The 21,836-nt window shown below is 39.9% G+C and overlaps 1 protein-coding gene across 2 annotated transcripts in view, besides 2 other annotated features; it reads left to right on the top strand.

The window, feature by feature from the left end:
• Positions 1-21,836, top strand: part of BACH2 (BACH transcriptional regulator 2) — a 370,316-nt gene that overhangs the window by 48,041 nt on the left and 300,439 nt on the right. The gene's annotated exons all lie outside the window — the stretch shown is intronic.
• Positions 17,161-17,305: an enhancer, noted in NCBI's record as "145 bp 6:90941289 sequence used in MPRA reporter constructs". NCBI's record gives its function as "activates a minimal TATA-containing promoter with rs2021716 allelic activity by MPRAs in C283T melanocytes {active_cell/tissue: C283T}" and the evidence as "EXISTENCE:reporter gene assay evidence [ECO:0000049][PMID:36423637]".
• Position 17,233: a transcriptional cis regulatory region, noted in NCBI's record as "rs2021716 or 6:90941289 MPRA-significant variant associated with a GWAS melanoma risk locus at 6q15". NCBI's record gives its function as "allelic transcriptional activity by MPRAs in C283T melanocytes {active_cell/tissue: C283T}" and the evidence as "EXISTENCE:reporter gene assay evidence [ECO:0000049][PMID:36423637]".

Raw genomic sequence — 21,836 nt, 5'->3', positions numbered from 1 at the left:
TAAGAATCCAGCCTCCTCCCCGGAGTTGGTGGGAGTCTGCTGACCTGGCCCCAGCCAGGCTCTCTGGCCTCATGCAGCCATTTTCCCTTCATTGACCCCATACCACCACTGTGACCAGGTGCACCAGGCTCTTCCTGAGGCTGCTTTTCTCCCTGAAATGCCCACCCCACCTCCCACTTTTCATTTTTCTAACTCTCGTTCATCCTTCACTTGCATTTTAACATCACATCCTCTGAGAAGCCTTCCCTGATCTCCACCCTTAATGAGCACCACCCAGTTGTCCATACTTTGCTTTCTCCTTTCTTTCCCAGCCCTTATTAGAATTTTAATTTCATATTTGGCCATACATTTGTTTCTTTAATAGTTTTCTCTCCCATTAGTCTATGAGCCCATTAGGGATCACGGCTATTTTGTCTGCTGTATGTAATATCCACTTCCTAGCAAGCAGGACACACTCAAGGAAGAGTTATTGAATAATAATTTAAAAATATTTTTTATTAAATGAAAAATATAAATATCCAATTCTAAGAATGTGCAATTCTGTCAGGAGTGTTAAGTACTGAAAAAACGACAGCAGATTAGTTAATTGGTTGATTTCACAAACATCTGTAGATTGTTGACAGTGCACTATGATGTGCTGTTCTAGGTGCTGAGTACATGTGGACGGGTTGTTGCCTGGCTTTGCAGAGGTCTCACCTTGGGGAGATAGCAAAGAGACACAATGAGGAATAAAATTAGTGCCTTTCTCTCAAGGAGCATATGTATTCATTCATGTAACAAACATTTGTTGAGCACCTATGATATACTCTAAGCTAGAAGACACTTGAATGTGATGAGTATAACATATAAGAGAGTAAAATTAATCTCCAAGAAAGATACAGAATGCTGTAGGGATGAAGATTAAGAAATGCTGTCTGATTAGGGACATCAGAGAGCATCCTGGATAAAGCAGAGACCGAAGTGCTACTTGAAGAATGGGTTCAACTTTGACAGCTGAAGCTATGAGGGAGGAAATTCTAGGCATGGGAACCACTTGGGTAAAGGCATGGAGATGGGAAGACATTCCAGGGATAGCTATTAACCCTTTTTAACTGAAGCATAGGGTGGATGATGGTGAATAAGAAGAAATTAGACTAAAAAAGTAGGTAGAGGCTATACTTTAGGGGAGTGAAGAATTCCTCTAAGTTTAGAAAAAGTTGATTTTAATTACCTTAAATAAGGCAGTAATGGTACTAATATTGCTGTTTGGTAGCCCTTAGGAAAATGATACTTGTGACTTGGTACAGTGGCTCACACCTGCAATTCCAGCACTTTGGGAGATTGAGGTGGGAGGATTGCTTGAGGCCAGGAGTTCAAGACCAGCCTGGGCAACATAGCAAGACCCCATCTCAAAAAAAAAAATAACTGTACATGGTGGTGCATGCCTGTAGTCCCAGCTACTAAGGAGGTTGAAACAGGAGGATCACTTGAGCCCAGGAGTTAGAGATTGCAATGAGCTATGATGACCACTGCACTCCAGCCTGGGTAAGACACCATCTCTACAAAAAAAAAAAAAAGAAGAAGAAGAAAGAAATTGATACTTGTTTAAATATATTACATGTCAAATGTACTACAACAGTCCTCTCCAAATGAGAATATAAAGAGCTTCATCCTTGTAAACTGCAGTCATGTTCTCGTTATAGTGGTAGTTAGTATGCAGGTCAATAATTTATATGTGGTCTTTAGCTTTGTCTTTTTCATTAAACAGTAAAAACGGTAACCTGACATTTGAAGGTTTTTTTTTCACATTTGTAATATCAAAAACTTGATTCGTAACAAGTATCGTAAATTTACAAGTATGTTTTTCATGCATATTTTAAGAAAATTTTCATAGGACTTTAACGTCAGGTTTCTTTTGAATACTTCCACATGCTCTACCTAACAATTTTAGTGTAAAGTTTCATTTTCCTTATCAAATTCTATGTAAGTGAGACATTGGTGTTTTAGCCAAGGTACCCTGCTTTATGGAGTATCTGTGTTCCTAGAAAATTTGTTTTGAAATATGATTTTGTAAATCAGATTGTATTGTAATATACTTGGTGACCTTTTGCTTCAAATCACCTTAAAATAAATTCATTTATATTATCTAATTCATATTTTATAAATCCTAATTTTTATATGTACTCATTTTTCTTGAATTGGGGGTAATTCTACAAACAATAAACAAGGTAAATGATTTTTTTTTGCCAGTTTGTACTAAGAGAACATGTTATTTTGTTTCGGGTGAATGTATGTATCTTAATACACTGTACTACATTAGACATCAATAGGGAGGAATGTAACGCATTTTTCTTTTGTATGGAAATCTGTTGAAACCTATCTTAAAGAGTTTTGAGCAGAAATTGAAGGATGAGCCTGAGGTTTTCTGATTAGTTGGAGAATATTGTTTTCAGTAGACAACAGTAAGAATAAAAGTGGAAAAATTGTATTTAAAATTGATGTTTTATAACTTTCAGAAGTTGATGTCTCCATTTTACACATTATACTTATAAAAGTACAGTAATCAACTCTGCTTTATAACTGTTTTGTGAAGATTATTTAAAGGTCAAGGGAGTGTAGTAGAGGCACAGAAAAACAGAATAAAATTGGAATCCTAGAGTTTATGTGCATTTAGGTTAATTTTGACTTAGTGGCTCCTGGCTCTCACCAATCTGGGTTGAGTGAAGGACCCACTGTTCATTGTGTTCCAGCAGTAGTCACTCAGACCCAGCTTGCCACGTTATCAGTCCAACTTAACTTCTGCCACGTCCCACTCCTCCTCCCTTGATAGCTTCTCTTGCTGACATCCTTTCCACCCCTTTGTGCTGCATTCCTCTGGCACTGCCAGCCTCCTGTCATGGAATGAGGGTCTGGGCCAGGAGACCTTTGGAGAAAATTCCTGGAGAGCAAGTTTTCATAGATTTTTGTCCAATTTTTTCTGTTTCCACCCTGTTACAAATATTTTAATCCAAATATGAAAAATCTTTAAATTCAGACTTCTCTTGTTTCAAATTCAGACTTCTCTTGTTTCAAATTCAGATTATTTCTGATCACCTCATAGCTAGTTCTTGAAGTTCATCTTAGCAGGAACAGAGCTAACTAAACTACTGAATGATGTAAATGAACATATAAAGGCTATGTTTACCTACTTAAGAAATTGCTTTTAGCCAGTTTAGAAATGTCTGCTTACTCTTTTGTTTTTAAATTTAAAAAATTCTTCAGAGATGGGATCTCGTTCTGTCAACCAGGCCGGAGTGCAGTGCCACCGTCACAGTTCACTGGCTACCTCAGCCTCTGGAGTAGCTGGGACTACAGGCACGCACCACAACACCTGGATAATTTTTTTAAATTTTCTTGTTAGAAACAGAGTCTCTCTATGTTGCCCTGACTGGTCTTGAACTCCTGGCCTCAAGTGATCCTCCTGCCTTGGCCTCCAAAAGTACTGTGATTACAAGTGTGAGCCACTGAGCCTGGTTGAAATGTCCACTTACTTTTAAAAATGAATTGTATTTTAAGGAAGAGTTTGCAATGCTTAAATAATTTTCATCAGTTTACTTAAAAAGTACTAAAGCCTTTTTTTTTTTTTAAGACAGAATCTCACTCTGTCACCCAGGCAGGATTGCAGTGGCATGATCTCAGCTGACTGTAACCTCTGCCTCCCAGGTTCAAGCGATATTCTCCCACTTCAGCCTCCCAAGTAGCTGGGATTACAGGCACCTGCCACCACACCCGGCTAATTTTTTGTGTGTTTTTAGTAGAGACAGGGTTTCACCATGTTGGCCAAGCTGGTCTCGAACTCCTGACCTCAGGTGATCTGCCCACCTTGGCCTCCCAAAGTGCTGGGATTACAGGCGTGAGCCACCACACCTGGCTAAAGCCTATTTTTAAAGCATAATTTATATTAGGTATTGTTAATCCTTCACGGTTCTTGTTTGGTTAATTTCAGCAGCTTAAGGAAGATCACTTGGAGCTAGAAAGGCCCATGAGGGTGATGATGGCTCAGAGGGGGCAATAGAAGCAGCTTTTAGGGAGGAGTCAAGTGCAGTAGGTAAACATGGGATGTGTCAGATATGATACCAGCCAGTGGTCCCCATAGCACAGGCAGCAAGTGTGAGGCACAGCACAGAGCACATGTACACGAGTATTTGTGTGCGTGTGTGCGCATGTGTGCGCGTGTGAAGGGGGGAGGGGGTGGTTGCTGTCAGGTGAGCAATATACCCAAATGGAGACCCCAGAAGCAGCTGATACTAATCCATCCAAGTAGGCAGCAGTGTCTGTCCATGAGAATGTTGGGCCCAGCCATTATCCAAGGATTCTAGACCAGATTCTGGAGAGATCACAGCAGAGTTTCTGCTTGACTTCACTGAGCTTCAGTGTTTGAATCTGTAAAATGGAAGCAGTAATAGTAATTACCTCAAGGGGTTATTTTGATGGCTAATTGAAAACATGTATGCGAAGCCCTTGAATACCATCTGGTACATAGTAAGTATTTAGTAAATGTTAGCTATTACTGTATTACATGAAATTGGGAAGACAGTATTTCTTTTTAAATGTCCTATAAATAACCGGGTGCAGTGGCTCATGCCTGTAATCCCAGCACTTTGGGAGGCCCAGGCAGGCGGATTGCTTGAGGTCAGGAGTTCAAGATCAGCCTGGCCAACATGGTGAAACCCTGTCCCTACTAAAATTGCAAAAATTAGCCGGGTGTGGTGGCACATGCCTGTTATCCCAGCTACTCAGGAGGCTGAGGCATGAGAATCATTTGAACCCAGGAGATGGAGGTTGCAGTGAGCTGAGATCATGCCACTGCACTCCAGCCTGGGCAACAGAGCGAGACTCTGTCTCCCAAAAATAAAAAATAAAAAATGAATGTCCTATGACTGAGGTTTATTGCTCCTCAATTGAGCTATTCCAATCAATGAAATTTTACTACATAAAGGTAGATGCCTTCTAATGGTTTTCTTCCCACAGGGATGGTGGGGTGAGATGGGGAACTGTTCAGGTAGTAGACCTGTTCATGAGGAAAAAAACTATTTAAATGCTGAGAAAAGGATGCTAGCTTTTTTGGATCCATCATCATTTTTGCCAAATTCATAGAATTTTTGGCCAGTGGTGTCAAACTTTAAAATTCATAGGAAAAAGAGATTCAGTAATTACTCTGTAATATTAGGGAGGGTGTGGAAATAAGGAATGAACGTTATGTAAAGACCATAATGCTAGTCAGAGAATGTTCCAATGGAAAACTGATGTTTCCTTCTGCCACCAGGACAAAACTTTTGTGATCTAAAGGCAAAACAATAACAAAAACAGCAACAGCAACAAAAACCAGCCTAACAGTCCCAAGTGGTCTTCACTGTCATGATTATTAAGCATTTTCTCCAAAGTCTGAACTACAGTTTGTTGAGGTTTCATTGAAAATGATACTAAAACAAATTTGCTTAAAAGTAAAATGGAGTTATTGGCATCACAAAGATCATAGTCACCTTCTTAAGAATTGCATAACCTTTAATGACTGTAAAGGATTTTTAAAGACGATCCTTGCGACTAGTTATTAATACATTTTTTTGAGGCTGTGGAAATCAGATAATTTGGGCCGGGCACATTGGCTCACGCCTGTAATCCCAGCATTTTGGGAGGCTGAGGCGGGCGGAGCACCTGAAGTTGGGAGTTCAAGACCAGCCTGACCAACATGGAGAAACCTTGTCTCTACTAAAAAAAAAAAAAAAAAAAAAAAAAAATTAGCCGGGCATGGTGGTGTATCCCTGTAATCCAAGCGACTCGGGAGGCTGAGACAGGAGAATCGCTTGAACTCGGGAGGCGGAGGTTGCAGTGAGCCAAGATCACGCCATTGCACTCCAGTCTGGGCAACAAGAGCTAAACTCCGCCTCAAAAAAAAAAAGAAATCAGATAATTTGCCCAAAGTCAACAGCCCAAAGTCAACAACTCCTGAATTTTTTGATCACATTATCTTTCAAGTTTAGTTAGAACCTGAAAGTTAACTGTCCTTCACTTAGGTAGATCATAAATAATGCACTGGTCACATTGTGTAGATATTAAGTTACACTTTGGTAGATGGATTTTTAGATATTGAAAATGATAGATTGGTACAACTGCTTTGAAAGTTTGGCAGCTTCTTATAAAGCTCAAGATAGGCTTAACGTACAATTCAGCAACTACGCATCTAGATGTTTACCCAAATGAGTTGAAAATTTATGTCTGCAGAACAACCTGCATGCGAATCTTGATAGCAGCTTTATTTATAACTGTCAAAAACTGGAAGCAACTAAGGGATCCTTCATTAGATGAATTGATAAACTGTGGTACATCCAGATAATGGAATATTATTCAGCACTAAAAAGAAATGAGCAATGAAGCCACAGAAAGACACAAAGGAACCTTAAATGCATATTGCTAAGTGAAAGAAGCCAGTCTGGAAAGGCTACATACTGTACGATTTAAACTATAGAAAAGGCAAAAGTCAAAACCATAGAGACAGTAAAAAGATCAGTGGTTGCTAGTTCAGGGAAGAGGGGACAGGATGAACAGGTGGAGCACAGTGGATTTTAAGGGCTGTGACACTATTCTGTATGATATTGTAATGGTGGATAGATAGGTGTGTCAAAACCCATACAACTGTGTAACATAAAGAGTGAACTCTTATGTAAACTATATTGACTGTTATGACTAGTTAATCCTATATCATCATTGGCTCATTAATTATAACAGATGTACCATACTTGTGCAAGATGGTTAATAACAGGGGAAACGGGGAAGAGGGAACTTTTGGCTTAGTTTTTCTATAAACCTAAAACTGCTCTAAAAAATAGTCTACTAATAAAAAAAAAAAAAGAAAATCAGGATAGATTGTAGCTTAGAAATAAAAAAACAATACTCCAAGACAAAACAAAACAAAAGCCTTGTATAATGTCTTTCATATAATATTCCCCACCTTATTTCTCTAGTTGTTTTTTAATTTTTTTTTCATTTATCTTATGTGTTATCTCATCAACCTTTAGTAACGGGCAGTTAAAAAAATAAGCAGTTTGGCAACTTCCTGTGGCATACATTTCAGATTGTGAGCAGAGATGCCCACCATGTGACTGGCAGGTGTCCCTCTCCCTAGCCACACCCTGTCCCTCTTTTCCACCTACCCTAGCATTAGTTGTCTCCTACCTTGCTTTTGACAACAGACAGGGTGAAAATGTGGGCTTGTGGCCATTGTGCTAAATGTTTTATTTCTATGTATTTTTTAATCCTTACAGCAGTTCCCATTTTGTAGATGAGGAAATGAGAGCACTGGAAGAGAGGAAATTCCTACCCTTGCAGTCTGACTCCATTCTGATCCTCTATCAGGCTAATGTGAACACACGTGACTCTCTGTCCCAGCCTGCCCCCTGTTGAGTAGGTGGGAGGGGGAGCCATTTGGAGGATTTGGTCCCAGTCCAGGTGCTATTTAAGTGAGCGGTTGATTTTAGCTGTGGTGAATACCACCACCCTACAGGCTAGTGTCTGCCATTGAGAAGTATCATCTCATCATTTTCAATCTATTAAGTGATACATTATCACATTATTATTATACATATATATTATTATATATTATCTGGAAACCATATAACTATAATTTTAGTCAACTCTTTTTTTTTTTTTTTTGAGTTGGAGTCTCGCTCTGTCACCCAGGCTGGAGTGCAGTGGGGCGATCTCGGCTCACTGCAACCTCTGCCTCCCAAGTTCAAGCGATTCTCCTGCCTCAGCCTCCCAAGTAGCTGGAGACTACAGGCGCACGCCACCACGCCTGGCTAATTTTTTCTATACTTTTAGTCAACTCTTAATTTCTAGCCTCATATTGACAAGTGATAGGGTTCAAAAGTAATATCTGTTGGCTTTGGAAATAATATTATATTTAGTATTATATTTAATGGAAGTTAGCAGATTTAGCTTCTTAATAATGTTTGGCTGGAGGCAGTATTAACCTTTGGTTGCTGTCTTGTGGCCTGCAGATGTTTGTAATGCAAGAGATAGGAATTTGGTCCCTAGGAGGGTAAAGCTAAGGTTCACTCTAAGAAAGCCACAAAGCAGACAGTCTACATGTTGAGGATTAAATGTTGATTTTACGTGGGTCATCATTTTTAAAGTCCATTTGCCTTCTTATTTTGTGATGAATATTTAAGATTTTGAAGTACATCTCCTCTTATTTGCTTTGTAGTTCTTATGAGGAAGAATTCCCATTATAGTGGGGCTGAGGAGATAACCATTATTTTTCGTTATGCTTGTTTTCTTAATATCGTAAAGCAGACAATAGCAGGATATTTAATGAAATACATCATGAATTTAATCCTAGACCAAAGCAAAGTATTTTCAAGTATTTTTCATTTTCACATAAATTATATTAAAATTCATATTTAAGTTAAAATTTTTGAGACAGTTTACTTGAAACATAGTAGCATTCTTCACTGATGTTAGAATTACTTTATAAGTTATTTTGCATTTCTTAGGAGGCAAAATAGGTTTTCAAAAGGATTAACATGTGTTAAACTTTTTGATATTTCATTAAAAAAGATAGTATTGGAAAAATGCAGTATTTTTTCATTTACTTCCAAATGTTTTGTATTAAACTTTTTTTGACCTAGTAGATGACTAGTACAAATAGAACTTTTAAAGATTAGGATATACCTGTTACTTGTAAGATGAATTTTTTTAATGCTTAATTCAAATAATAAAATATATCTGTTTTTGTATTTTCTGTAACAATATAGAAGTAGTTCTCAGATTTCTTTTTCTATAAGATGAATTTTTAGATCTTTATTTTACTTGGCAAGTCTAAAATAGTGGTGGTTCTGGGGTTGATTCATGTGTTCGTTTTTCCTACTGTTTGGCTAATTCTTGTATGTGGTTTTAATTTTTTTAATAGCAAATATATATTTCTGTATGTGAATAGTCAGCGTGTGTGTGTGTGTGTGTGTGTGTGTGTGTGTGTGTGTGTGTGTGTATTCCCCCCCCCTTACTATGGAGATCATGCATGTCAGTGCTGAGCTTGGGGAAAACAGAAAAACAAACGTGACCTTTGATCCCTTCAGAGATAACATAATCTCTTAGTCATATAAAGATAAGGTCCATCTCTTAGTCATATAGACGAGATTTATATCTTAGTCATGTATGGCTATATACATAAATATGTGCATATTGCCAGAGATTATTAAAGCATGTACATGCATACATAAATAATTTTTAAAGTGAAAAGAGAATCCTCCTATAACACCTTACAGGGTGGCTATGTTCTTTTAATGTTTCATGGGGACCTTGCTGTAATTTTAGAGCCAGCACCTGGCTCAGGTTCACCCATGACATTTTCAGCTGATCTTTCGCTTGTTTTCTAGTTGACCTTCAAACAGAAAGTTCATAGCCTCTTCTCAGCTGTTAATGTGATTTACTTCTTATGTCTGGGAAGTCAAGATTGTTGCTGAATTCATTGTTTTAAGGGGATTGAGGTCCTTGGTTTAATGCCAGGACATTCCCAGCTGACAGAAAACTAAATCCGCCAACCCTAATTTCAAAGATTACCAGGTTTGTGGCTCGTGGACATCTTAGATCCTAGGTCGAGCAACTCTTAGGCTGTTCCTGGCACACCACATACATATGGGGTTGTGTATTGATTTTAATTCAAGTATCATTTTAGCATTGATTGGCAAACACCCTAGTGGCTTTCAGTCAGTAAAATTCAGTGCAGCAGCTAACCTGCTGCTGCTCCTGCCTTAAAATCAGTATTTGAGTTAGTGGTCGTTTAACTTTGCAATTTTGACTCTGTGTTAAAATGTATACTTTTTCTTAATTTTCAAAATAGGAAGTGAGGTGTGCTCTTCAGGTTCTTGGGCTCACAGCAGGGAGGTTATGAAATATAAATGAAAGGAGACACTAGATGAGCTCCACACAAGGCAGTATCACAACTCACTCCCCCAAGAAGGAAGCACATCATCATTTCTTACACCGTGAGAAACAGCCATCTTGTCACAGGAAAATGAGATTGAAGAATTAGTCTGATTAAAAACAAATTACCAGAGTTGCTGTTCAGTTAGGTGGCCTGCAGAATATTAGCAGCTGTGGTTGGAAAGCCATCAGGAGTTTCTCTCAAGCAAGACCAAGCTGGTTTCCTTAGATCCCTGTCTTGTGTCCCAGCCTGTTTTATGCCTTCACCACCCTCACTTTAGCTTTTTCCCAGTAGGAAACAATGGCAAGGTAGAGGAAGAGTTTTTAAATTCATTCTTATTAGGAGTGAGTTTTTTTCTTTGTAGATATTAGTAATCTAAAAGTAGAAGTAGTGTAAATATTTTTTACAGCATATAATTCAATTGCACATCAGCAGTTGCGCTATCTGTATATGCAAATACTCTAAGAAATTTAATATTTTATCAAAAGCCACAACTCCAAAAATGAAATCTAATGACTTGTTTCTATGGTAACCACTATCGAAATATGTCTAGCCAGTGTGTGTCTTCCCATAATTTTTCTCTAAGAGTTTCAGGGAGTTCATTAAATTTGCTTTCCCAACATAGATAGATGATCGATCGATCGATAAGAGAGAACAGATACATTTTTCCCCCTAATGGGGTTATGAGACTATTATAAAATTCTCTTTAGCTTCGTATAGAGTATGACTTCATTCTTAGACATGAATGTATTTGGCTAAGGGACAAGCCTATTGTTTTATAAATTTAGTTTAAACCAGTAATAAAGCCAGGTTAGTAATAATTTCTAAAACGAGATTAATCTTGCTTCATAAATATTTTCTGGTATTTATATATGGAACTGTTGGATTGCACACACATTGATTTCTAGAATGACCCATGTCCTTTTAAAATTGAAATTCATTTGCTGTTCCTTTGAGACCTTGTTAGATTTCTTTATTGCTCGTCCACCGTTGTCTTTGTTATCTACCAGGGCGTTGAGTGTCTGTCCACCTTGATGGAGTTCTGACCTGGATTTGATCAACATCCCCTTGTGGCCTTTCTTCCTTGTCAGAGGTTGTGTGCTGCAAATACAATGAAAGTCACAACTTATTTATTTAGAGATCTTGACATTTCCCAGCAGGTTCATTCAGAAAAGCTGACTACAGTGTTTCCAGAGGTACAGAAGAGATTCCATTGCATTTTACATTTAAGAGAAAGTAAACTATTGGTTTGGTAAATTTTTCACCAGTCTCAAGGCCTGTCATGTCACAAAACAAACAGATGTGGTCAGATATTCTAGTGATATAAGTGTGCATTCACCGTGAGTATTAACATTATGGCAGGGTTCATGGAATTCTCTGGTTACATTCAAAGGGAAACATTTTGTAAAGTAAAGTGGCAGGAAATAGATACTGAGGAAATAAAACTACACTGGGTCTGACAACCTGGAACTTTCATTTAGCCTACAAAGTTGACAGACAGGCTAGGATGTCTCTGAACCTGTTAGATATGGTTGGTCATAATAACATTTAATTGTTTGTTGAGGAGGGATGACTATTTAACTTAAGGGCCCTTCCTCTGTACTTTCAAGCTCTCCCAGATTTCTAAAACAAGAGCACTGGGCTGGGCGCAGTGGCTCACGCCTGTAATCCCAGCACTTTGGGAGGCCGAGGTGGATGGATCGTGAGGTCAGGAGATCGAGACCATCCTGGCTAACACAGTGAAACCCCATCTCTACTAAAAATACGAAAAATTAGCCGGGCGTGGTGGCAGGCGCCTGTAGTCCCAGCTACTTGGGAGGCTGAGGCAGGAGAATCGCTTGAACCTGGGAGGTGGAGGTTGCAGTGAGCTGAGATTGCGCCACTGCACTCCAGCCTGGGCGACAGAGAGAGACTCTCTCAAAAAAAAAATAAGAACATTGGCCTTCCTGAGTCCTGGAGAATGGGTTTGTACAATTTCACAGTGGAATCATGGACATAGTATAAGTGCATGTAGTTTTCAATTTTAATTTGTAGTCTCAGTTCTTTCAAGAAGTAGCTGAACAGTGACAGGCACAGTTTTCTATACAGTGAGCTAAAGTAAGATAGCTTCATGGAATCAGGTGGTTTCATATCCTGAAATCCCAGAGACTCTCTTTTTTGCTCCCTCATCTATTGCCCTGTGTTCAGGCTTTACCATTTCTCTTCTGGACAAACACAGGAAACTCTTTACCTGCCTCCTGCTTTGCACATATGGCCAGCCCCTTGGTTCATCTTCCATACTGCCAACCAAATGTTCTTTCTAAAGGCAAAACTAAACATCATGGCATGACTTTGCTTAAAATCTTCCGAAGACTTCTCTTCCTTTGCAAGGTGTCTAAATCCCAGAATGTCTCAGACCTATGTATCTTTCCAGTCTACTCTTTCTGTGCCCTGGGTAAACTGTTCGCTTCCCAAGTGCTTTGTGCTAATTGTGTGAACTCTTTCTGGGTCCCACCATGCAGGCCTGAGGTCCCTCATGGCTCAGGTTTGTCTCTGGCCTAGCATACTGTTTCTAATCGTTAGTTGACGTGCCTTCCTCACTAAACTCTAAAAAGCATTTTGAGCACTGTTTATTGCTTGCTTTTGCTTAACAAATACTGAGCCCAGCACCTGGCACCTAGGTGGTGCTCAATAAATGTTTCTTATATGATTGAATAAATGAATGAAGGAATGAGTTAGTGATATCACACAGGAAGCAGTGGTGAAGGAGACACTGCATTTAGTTAGTAAAACAGGCTTGAGCTGCAATTAACAGATTTCAGCAAGAGTGAGGCTGGTTGGTTGCTGGGTGGCCCCCATAAGGGCATAGCCCTGGTGAATAGCCACAGGACCAAAATCAGTTTTATTAGTTCTTTTTGAGAGATGTGACTTGCAAGAATTGACTTATAGTTAAATTTATGAGAGATTAATTCATAATTGATATGCTCATGTATTCTTGACAATGAAAAGAGGAAGGCCAGGCAGCACAACTGACATGGGTCATTTGCTCAGGCCACATCCTGCTGGTCAGTAAGTTCATTCAGGAGGCCCAATATTAGAACTTACTAAATTCTGAGTAAATGCATCCTTTCTAATTGTCTCTAAGGGATTGTCCATCAAGCTGGATTACCCAGAAGAAGGATTATTTTCTTTTCCTATTTAAAAATGTTTTTAAATTTAAAAAAATTTTTTAGAGACAGGGTCTCACTATATCGCCCAGGCTCAAACTCCTTGGCTGAAAGGATCCTCTTTGCCTCCACCTCCCAGGTAGCTGGGAACTACAGGCTTGTGCCACAATCCCTGGCTTTTTTAGTTGAAGGGCATTTCTCTATAGATCACTGACTTTTACAACATCCTTAACAGTAATCAAAACAGTTCTACCTTTGTAATAATAATGGCTAATTCTTGAATGTTTACTGTGTTGGGCACTGTTCTAAATGCTTTATCTACTTTGACATAATCTTCACAACCCTGTGATGTAATTACTATTATTAGCTCTGTTTTTACAGACTGGGAAACCGAGAGCAAAGATGTTAAGTGATTTATCTCTGTTCTAAGGGGTGCTGGAATTTGAACCCATGCAGATGGACTCAATACCTTTGCTTTTAACCACACACTAATCTTCCTTTCTATGAATGCAACCAGCATTTCTTGTGTTTGCTTTGTGTGACTTCGTTTAATGCTCCTAGCAACTTCTGCAAATTAGGTGTTAAATCTCTTTTGCTTGCAGCCGAAAAAAGGTCTTGGTTTTTTGGTTACAAGCAACGGACTAAAGCAAAAAAGATTTTACCATGTCTTATACCTGAGCTATCTTTAGGTCAGGTTGCTGACTATGATGATGGGTGCCCCAGTTGGTATGGGGAGGGGCAACTTTTCACAAAGGAAGGGGAGCCAATGATGGAGAAACAAAATCACATGAAGAAATGGAAGTTTAAATGACTTGCCCAAGGTCACCCAGCTAGTGAGTGCCAAAGGTGGGATTTGGCCCTAGGCTGCCTCTAGCACCATCTGGGTTCACTCTGATTTGAGTGGACCCTTTGCAAACTGTACATCCTGCTGCTGCTGTTCTTTCATCAGCAGGTTATGCTATCATAACCATAACATGTATCATTTTCTTTATTCCATTCTGGTTCTAAGAATACACTGTGACCACCTTCTTTGAACCTGGCTGTTTCCCAAATGTAGTGCACATTGTTTTATTTAATTCTAAACTATCTTTTAGGATAGTTGTATAAACAGTTTAGTTCATCTAAAATTTTAACTAAAATTTGTACTGCTTTCCACTTCTGAAAGTGACCTTTTTTTCTGACCTGGCTGCAAATTCTGGAGAAGGCTTGACTGAAGCTCTGTGAGCAGACCAGAGCTTTTTCAGGCTAAGGTTTATACAAAACATTGACCTTCATGGAAATTCTGGTTCTTGATCACTTGGGTAAGCAAGTAAGTTCATGGGAATGCCCATCTATTCACTGTCAACTCACAGCCCTACTGTACAGGTCCTTGCTGGGGAGCATGCTCTCTGGAAAGTGGCTTATACTTTGCACTTCTGAATCTGTTTGTGAGGAAATGACAGTATTTTTCCGCACTTGCACCACCGACTGAAGCGCTGATCCTTGATGTGTTTAGTTTTTACCTGTGCTCATCTCTACATCAAAAACAGAGGAAGCCACAGGAAATTGCTGCCTGTATTTCCAGGAAACTTAACTACATCATCGGCTCCCCAATCCGCACAGCCCAGAAGACCCTGATGCTGGCCTCAGTGTTGCTGATGTGGGTGGTGATAAGGGGCCGAGAGTGTTCTCATCCTGTGGCTCTGCCAGTGAAAGCCTAGAAGAGATGAAGCACTCTTCAGACTAACAGGAAAACCCTGAGTCTGGTTCTATAAGCACTTAGTCTCTGAACATGCCGACAGTGAGGGTGAAGTGAGGGATAATTCTATCCCAAGGCTAGTGGTCCTCTTTCTTTCTGCTCAGGTGTGCTATCTTGTCCCTGGTCCATAGGGCCGTGGCTGGCATTCTCTCTGATCGCAGAAAATTGAAATGATCCTGGGAAAATTGTCACATGAGCCTGTGGATGGGGTCAGGAGAGATAAAGACCATAGGATTTACACTGGCCACCAGCAGTTCCTCAAAGAATTATAATAACATAATTGTAATACCAATCGCTGATATTTATTGAGCATTGACTTTGGTGTGCCAGGCATTTTGTCGAGGACCCTATGAGCATTAATGTAATCCTCACATAAACCCCAAAAGGGACTCTTTATTATTCCCAATTGTCAGGCGAGGTACCTGAGACTCATAGAGTTTGATACCTTGTCCAGGGTCATATAGCCATTAAAGGATGCAAAACTTGAACCTAAATCTGTGTCATTCTAAGCCAGCACTATACATAGTCAAGTAGGTTTTACTGGAGGGTGGAGTGGGGCTGGCAGCCTGTGTGCACAGGCAGACGGAAGCAGACAAGATCCATCCAAGGCAGGCTGAAGACTTATACCCAGAGAAGGCTTTGGTGTACATCTGCCAAAGTGATATTCTCATGTAGAAGAAAGGATTGGGTGATAGTCCAATAAATACTTTACCACAGGGAACTTATGTGTCTTCTGGGGTCTGGCCAAAGTCATGAGTGCAAGCTCCCAAATAAAAAAAAGGTGGCTTCTCACCTCCTCATGATCCCAGCTTCCTAGCATAGCACTCTTCTCTATTTTAGCTTATCAATTCCAAATGTGATTGAAACAAGTATGAGAAATTGATGTTGCTTCAGCTTCTCTGTGAACTGAAACAAATTCTTGTTGAAACATGATATCTCCTGCCTCATGGATCAAAGAGGGATGGTCTGGAAGAGAAGCCCCCATAAATATTTGAGGCTTAATGAAGGCTATCTGTTGAATAATACACCTGTATTATTGTAAAAAGTTTTAATTTGGCCTCAGAGATACTCCCCACTAAAGCAGACAACAAAAAAGTGAGAAAATGAGGCTAGGAATTAATAAAAGATGTCAAGAAAGACCATTTAAGGACTTCTTAGAGACAGGCCATAAATGTGGTTTTGAACTTTTTGGCAGCTATTATGAAGACGGAAAGAGAAGTGTCATGGGAATCAATTTTCAAAACTTAAAAGTTCTCTTAAAATTCTAGCAGAAAAATAGTTTGCAGCTCTACACAGGTATTGGCTAGCATTAGTTTAAAGTGGTTGACATGCAGCCCTACTGCACACCTCTTTATATTCCCTTTGTGTTTAGGATTAGAAAAACTCACATAGTATGATCTATCATATGTCTACTTCTGGATTATTTCAAGATTGATAATCTGGTTTGTGTATTATCTTGGTCTTCATTTCTCTTTCCTTCTGGGCCTGTTGTTCATCTACTGGACATTTCTTTTCTTATTAACATTTCTGCTAAATTTTAAACAGAGAAAAGAAAAATAAATACACAATTCCAGCTATTTGCAGAGGTGATTTCAATGCTTTGTCAGCTAAAGGGAATTTCAAGAGAGATCTTTCTACATCAGTCTACTCATAATAGAACTCCTGGCTATCTTGGGTTGAGCCTGCCTGCAGGTGTGCTTAACCTGGGCCACAGATTAAGGCAGGTAAGGGAGAAACACCTGCAGAGGTAGGTTTTGACCCCATTATACCTAAGATGAAGGTCACTCCTTGTGAATTGATATAGAATGTGAAAAGGGTAGAAACTGCTGATTAAAACAAAGTGTTTTGATTATCTGGATTTCAGTAATAAGTGTTTTCCTCTCTTCCAGTTATAAAGAGTTGAAAACCTTGCAAGGCACTCTTGTATAATTGTGTCCTTAAAAGGTTTAGATAACGGTTGGGCTTCTCTCTCTCTCTCTCTCTCTCTCTCTCTGTCTCTCTCTCTCAGACCAAATATATCATGTCTATTGAAAGTCTGAAGATCAGTACATTTCCTCCTGTTTGGAAAATAATAATGCCTAGGTTTCACTAGAATTCTTTTTATCTCCAAGGCTCTCTTAAATATTGACTAATTAAATAAAAACTAAGGAAGTCTAGCTAAATAGCCTCACTTTGAGGACCAGCCCAGTGGACTTAGAATACACAGTGATTTGCTGTATCTCTGAAACAAGCAACTAGAAATCTTTTATTATTGGCTATAATAGCAAGTGGCATCTCTTATTATGTTTGGCAGCTGACATTTCAAATTGCATTTTGGTTGGTTGTTATACATGAAATAGTAGGATATGAGTAGACTAAAAATGAGAATTTGCAGCCCAGGGATGACATGAAATATCTAACATCTAGGGGTTGCCATGACAACTCATCAGAAAGTTGCTTTGTAATCTTTTGGATTAGGCTCTGGCCCAGGGTCACTGGATTGGAGTTGGAGAACGCTTTGGTAACAGGATGTGAATGTTGTACCTTTACTCAATGGCATTTGAATTTGCAGTTTGGTCATGTTGCTAAGGTCAAGTAGAAATGACATTGAGGGAATTTTTAAATTCCCGCAGAACCTAGACAAGGTCACATTTGTCAGCAAAAATACTCAGATGGAATAGTCTGAGACTTAGCAACTGAAAGACAGGATTTCCTGTCCTTGATAGATAAAAAGTATGCACATATCCATTTATATATGCCTATCTCTAAACAGTTGTATGTAATGAAAATTTGGGAAATTAAACCCTTTTCATAATTGTCTTCTGTTATAAAATTGGAACTGAACACCCCTAAGAAAACAGTTTGGCCACAAACAAACCACAGCTGCTTTCTAGTGCTCTGTGTCCTCCCTTTCAGCTGGAAATGGCCTGCAGGGTGTGGAATTTGGACCAGGGAAGGGAATTCGGCAGAGAGAGGAAGGAAGCAATTGGGAAACAGGGTACCACATTCCTCATCCCCCACATTGGCCTTGACCACAAGGACAGCATCTTCCACATGATAATGCACCTCTCAGGCATGCTTCTCACCAGGGATGATCAATGGAAGCAACCTGGAAACTAAAGAGCTCTGTTCCTAAGTCTGATCCCAGTTCTGCCACTCACACTGTGATCTTGAGCAAAACACATTTCAACTCTGGGTTCCCCTAGGAAATGAGGGGGCTGAGTTTCCTCTGGCTGTCAAGTTCTGCTATTTATCATCATGTGGGGGCAGAGCCAGGTCTCCACATCGCTTTTCTTTGCCATTAAGCCCACATTCCCATCATAACTTTGCAGTAGAAGTACCGTTCATTGTTAGTGGGACCTCTTAATAATTAAAAGAAAGAGAAAAAATGATTTATTCTTATCCCCATACCTTTTAAAGTTGTGGTTTTCTGAAGCAAAGGCTGCCATGCAGTGAGGAAAGGATGAAATTCCAGACAGAAGACAGTCAGTTGCAATAAGTTGTCCTACGACCAGTACTGTCAGCATCAGCTCAGCTTATATTTACTGAGTATTTTCTATATGGAGACAGTGCTAAGCCCTTTATATGCATCAAACTGTTTAATCCTTAGGACATATTCACATGTACACATGTATAGGTATGATGCATGTGATTAAAATTGAACATTTGCTATGTACCAGGTGTTATGCCAAATCCGTACAATAATCCACTGAGATCAATAAATGGATTCAGTCAGTCAAGCCTCACAACAAAGGAGGTGTTATCAGTTATCTCCGTTTTTACAAATAAGGAAACTGAGCCATAGCTAGTAACTAGTGGAGCAGGGATTTGAACCCACGTAGTATGGCCTCAGCATCCTTTCTCAAAACCTCTCTGCCTGTGGTTCTCCTCACTCATATGACATAACCACACCTGGGGAACTTTAGAAATATAAGGATCTTGGGGCCCCATTCTGGATCAGTCAGAATGTCGGGGATTGCGTCCCAGACCCAGGTTTGCTAATATGCAGCCAGGGCTGGGAACCACTGCCTCAGATGGAATACCAGGGTTATGTTGTTGGAGAGTTGCCTGTAGCTCTACAGCCAGCAGATGACTGACCTAGGACTTGCATCCAGGCTGTAGGCTCTCAAGCCAAATATCTCGACGGCACAATGGGCAACAATTCAGTTGTTATCTGGGCTCATATCTACCACCATGCCTAGTTTCTCTCTCCTAGTCTAAATCGCAAAGCCGCAAGTTCATTTAGGGCTGTTTAAAGACTGTATGCTACACCAATTATGAGAATCAGAGCACAAACTTCTTGTTGCAGCCAAAGCAGTGATTTCCTACTTAAAAGTTTCAGAGGTAACCTTTGCTTTTACCTGTCACCAACTTAAATGTAAGTTATCGTGCTTTTTCCTCATTGAGCAAAATCTTGTACTGACAGAGTCTAGGACAGTGGTTCTAAAACTCTGATGCACATTAGAATCTCCTGGGGATCTTTAAGAGCTACAGATGGCCTGGCTTCCACCCCAGACATTTTTTTTTTCTTTTTTTTTTTGAGACAAAGTCTCGCTGTGTAGCCCAGGTTGGAGTGCAGTGGCATGATCTCTGCTCGCCGCAACCTCCGCCTCCCAAGTTCAAGCAATTCTCTGGCCTCAGCCTCCAGAGTAGCTGGGATTACAGGCGCTGGCCACTGCACCCGGCTAATTTTTTGTATTTTTAGTATAGACGGGGTTTCACCATGTTGGCCAGGCTGGTCTTGAACTCCCGACCTCAGGTCATCCGCCTGCCTCGGCCTCCCAAAGTGCTAGGATTACAGGCGTGAGCCACCGCCCAGCCTCTGATTTTATTAGTATGGGATGTGACCTCGGCAATGGGAGTTTGTAAAGCTCTCCAGGTGATTCTGATGTGTAGCAGAGTTTGAACAGTGGTTTAAGAACTTGGTCTGTGAGTTCACAGATGTGTTGACTTGAGAAGACTGTGGAATCACCTCATGGATAGAACTCACTTTTTAACTCTCTGACAGTGTCTCTTGCGTTTCAGCTGGCAGGATTAATTTGAGTTTAATTCCACCCATTTCACTACCTGACTTGGAATTGTACCTCACTGTCAAATGATGGTTTCTCCCCAAAGGTTGTTCTTATACTTAGGCTCATGCAGTGATATTGGCGACATGTCTGTAAGATCCCTTTGTAAAGTTCTCAGCCTCATTTGACTCTCTTATTTCCACTATAGAATATTTCTTTTTATGTTGTTTTACCTTTTAAAACTGTTTTTTCTTGAGACAGTGTCTTGCTGTCACCCAGGCTGGAGTGCAGTGGTGCCATCTCGGCTCACTGCCCCCTCCACCTCCTGGGTTCAAGCAATTCTCCTGCCTCAGCCTCCAGAATAGCTTGGTGTGCCACCAAGCCTGGCTAATTTTTGTAATTTTAGTAGAGACAAAGTTTCTTTTCACTGTGCTGCCCAGGCTGGTCTTGAACTCCTGGTCTCAAGCAATCCGCCTGCCTTGACCTCCCAAAAAGTGCTGGGATTACAGGCGTGAGCCACCACGCCCAACCTAAAAACATTTTTATGATTTTAATACATGTTGCTTTTTTTCTTCCAGGAGCAAAATAAACACCTCTTCCACATAATGCATTATAGTAATAATCCACCTATGGTTCTTTTCCCAAAATGGCTGACCATCAGCCTCACTATTGGGAGACAGCAGCTGATGTGCCTGTAGTGTTTAACGGCTGATAGCGTCTTACAGATAGATAGTGATATGGTGGAAAGTTGGAGATTATGTAAAGAAGAATTGACTCAGACTTTATCCTCAGAGATTTTAGTAAAGTCAGATTAATGTAATCAACTGGAAAATATAGATGGATTATAAAAGTATATTAAAGCAGAAGTGTAAATTTGTTGGCAAGTTTGCAAATGTACTGGATTAATCTAGAAATCATTTTTGCAGTAAGTCTTAAATAGATTTTTAAACAGAGATGTTATTTTGTGGATAAAAAGAGACAGGTAATTTACAAGTGGAACAATTCTTGATAAAGGCTGGGGATGGCAAATGGAGTGTTGCAGGCCACTAGGCCAGCTAGCTAGGCTGGTATGAAAAGTATAAACTGGGTGTAGCAGTTAATGAGGAAGGATTGCTGAGGTGGATAGAGCTAGCTATTGCATGAGATTTAATACCAAGAATACTTTGGAAGAGCTTTTTTTTTTTTAAAGGGATATATCAGGAGTTTCTGTTTTCCTTTATGTGGTTGTTGAAGTCTAGTTGATTTCTAGTCTGTAATTTTGTTGATATTTCAGATCACCAAACAAGGCTGGTAAGATGGGTTAGTTATGCTTCTCTTGAGGATAAAGCTTTTGAAATTAACTCTGCTTCTTTAGGTTTAAGAATTTCTAATTCTGTCTGTCTACATCTTGCTGCTGTAATCTCCAAGAAAAGAAAAAGGGGTTAGGATGCCTCTCTTTTGAAATGGAGGGGTCAGAGCAGGCAGGGGGCTGTCACTGTTGTTTCTCTTTGTTCAGAAATTAGAACATGTGAGCAAGTGGTTCCACCCCTCATTTTGTGAGCTGTTTTCCTCTGATATTTCCTAATTTTTCCCATGACGTTTTAGCCTGTTTCTTCACAAGATTGTAAGGCCTGAAAGACCCCATTGTTTGACAGGAGTGCAGGCTTGTGCACATTTGCTGATCTGGCTGCCCGGGGTCTGAGTGTGGGTGGTATACCGCCCGAGGGATCATGCAGACGGGAGAATGCGTGGAGCAGACTCCTGGTAGTTGCAAACACTTTATGTGTATTAAGAGTTCATAGAATGTCTTTTTGTAGACAGAAGATGCTGCACTTTGAAAATGTTATTCACAAACTGAAATCTCATTGACAGAAGTAGGGATATTCCATTAGGCTAAGAAAAGTTTCTTAATGGCAAATCAAATGGATGAAGGCCTTATTCAAACTTCATTTCATCTTCAGATAGATTCAAACTTTTATTCTTGCAGTTCACGCACATTCCTTGATGGCCTGTCTTGGATTTATGTGAGCCTTTGGAGCAGCAAT

Source organism: Homo sapiens, chromosome 6 (assembly GCF_000001405.40).
Source record: "Homo sapiens chromosome 6, GRCh38.p14 Primary Assembly".
Taxonomy (NCBI): domain Eukaryota; kingdom Metazoa; phylum Chordata; class Mammalia; order Primates; family Hominidae; genus Homo; species Homo sapiens.
This window is presented reverse-complemented; position numbering and strand designations above follow the sequence as displayed.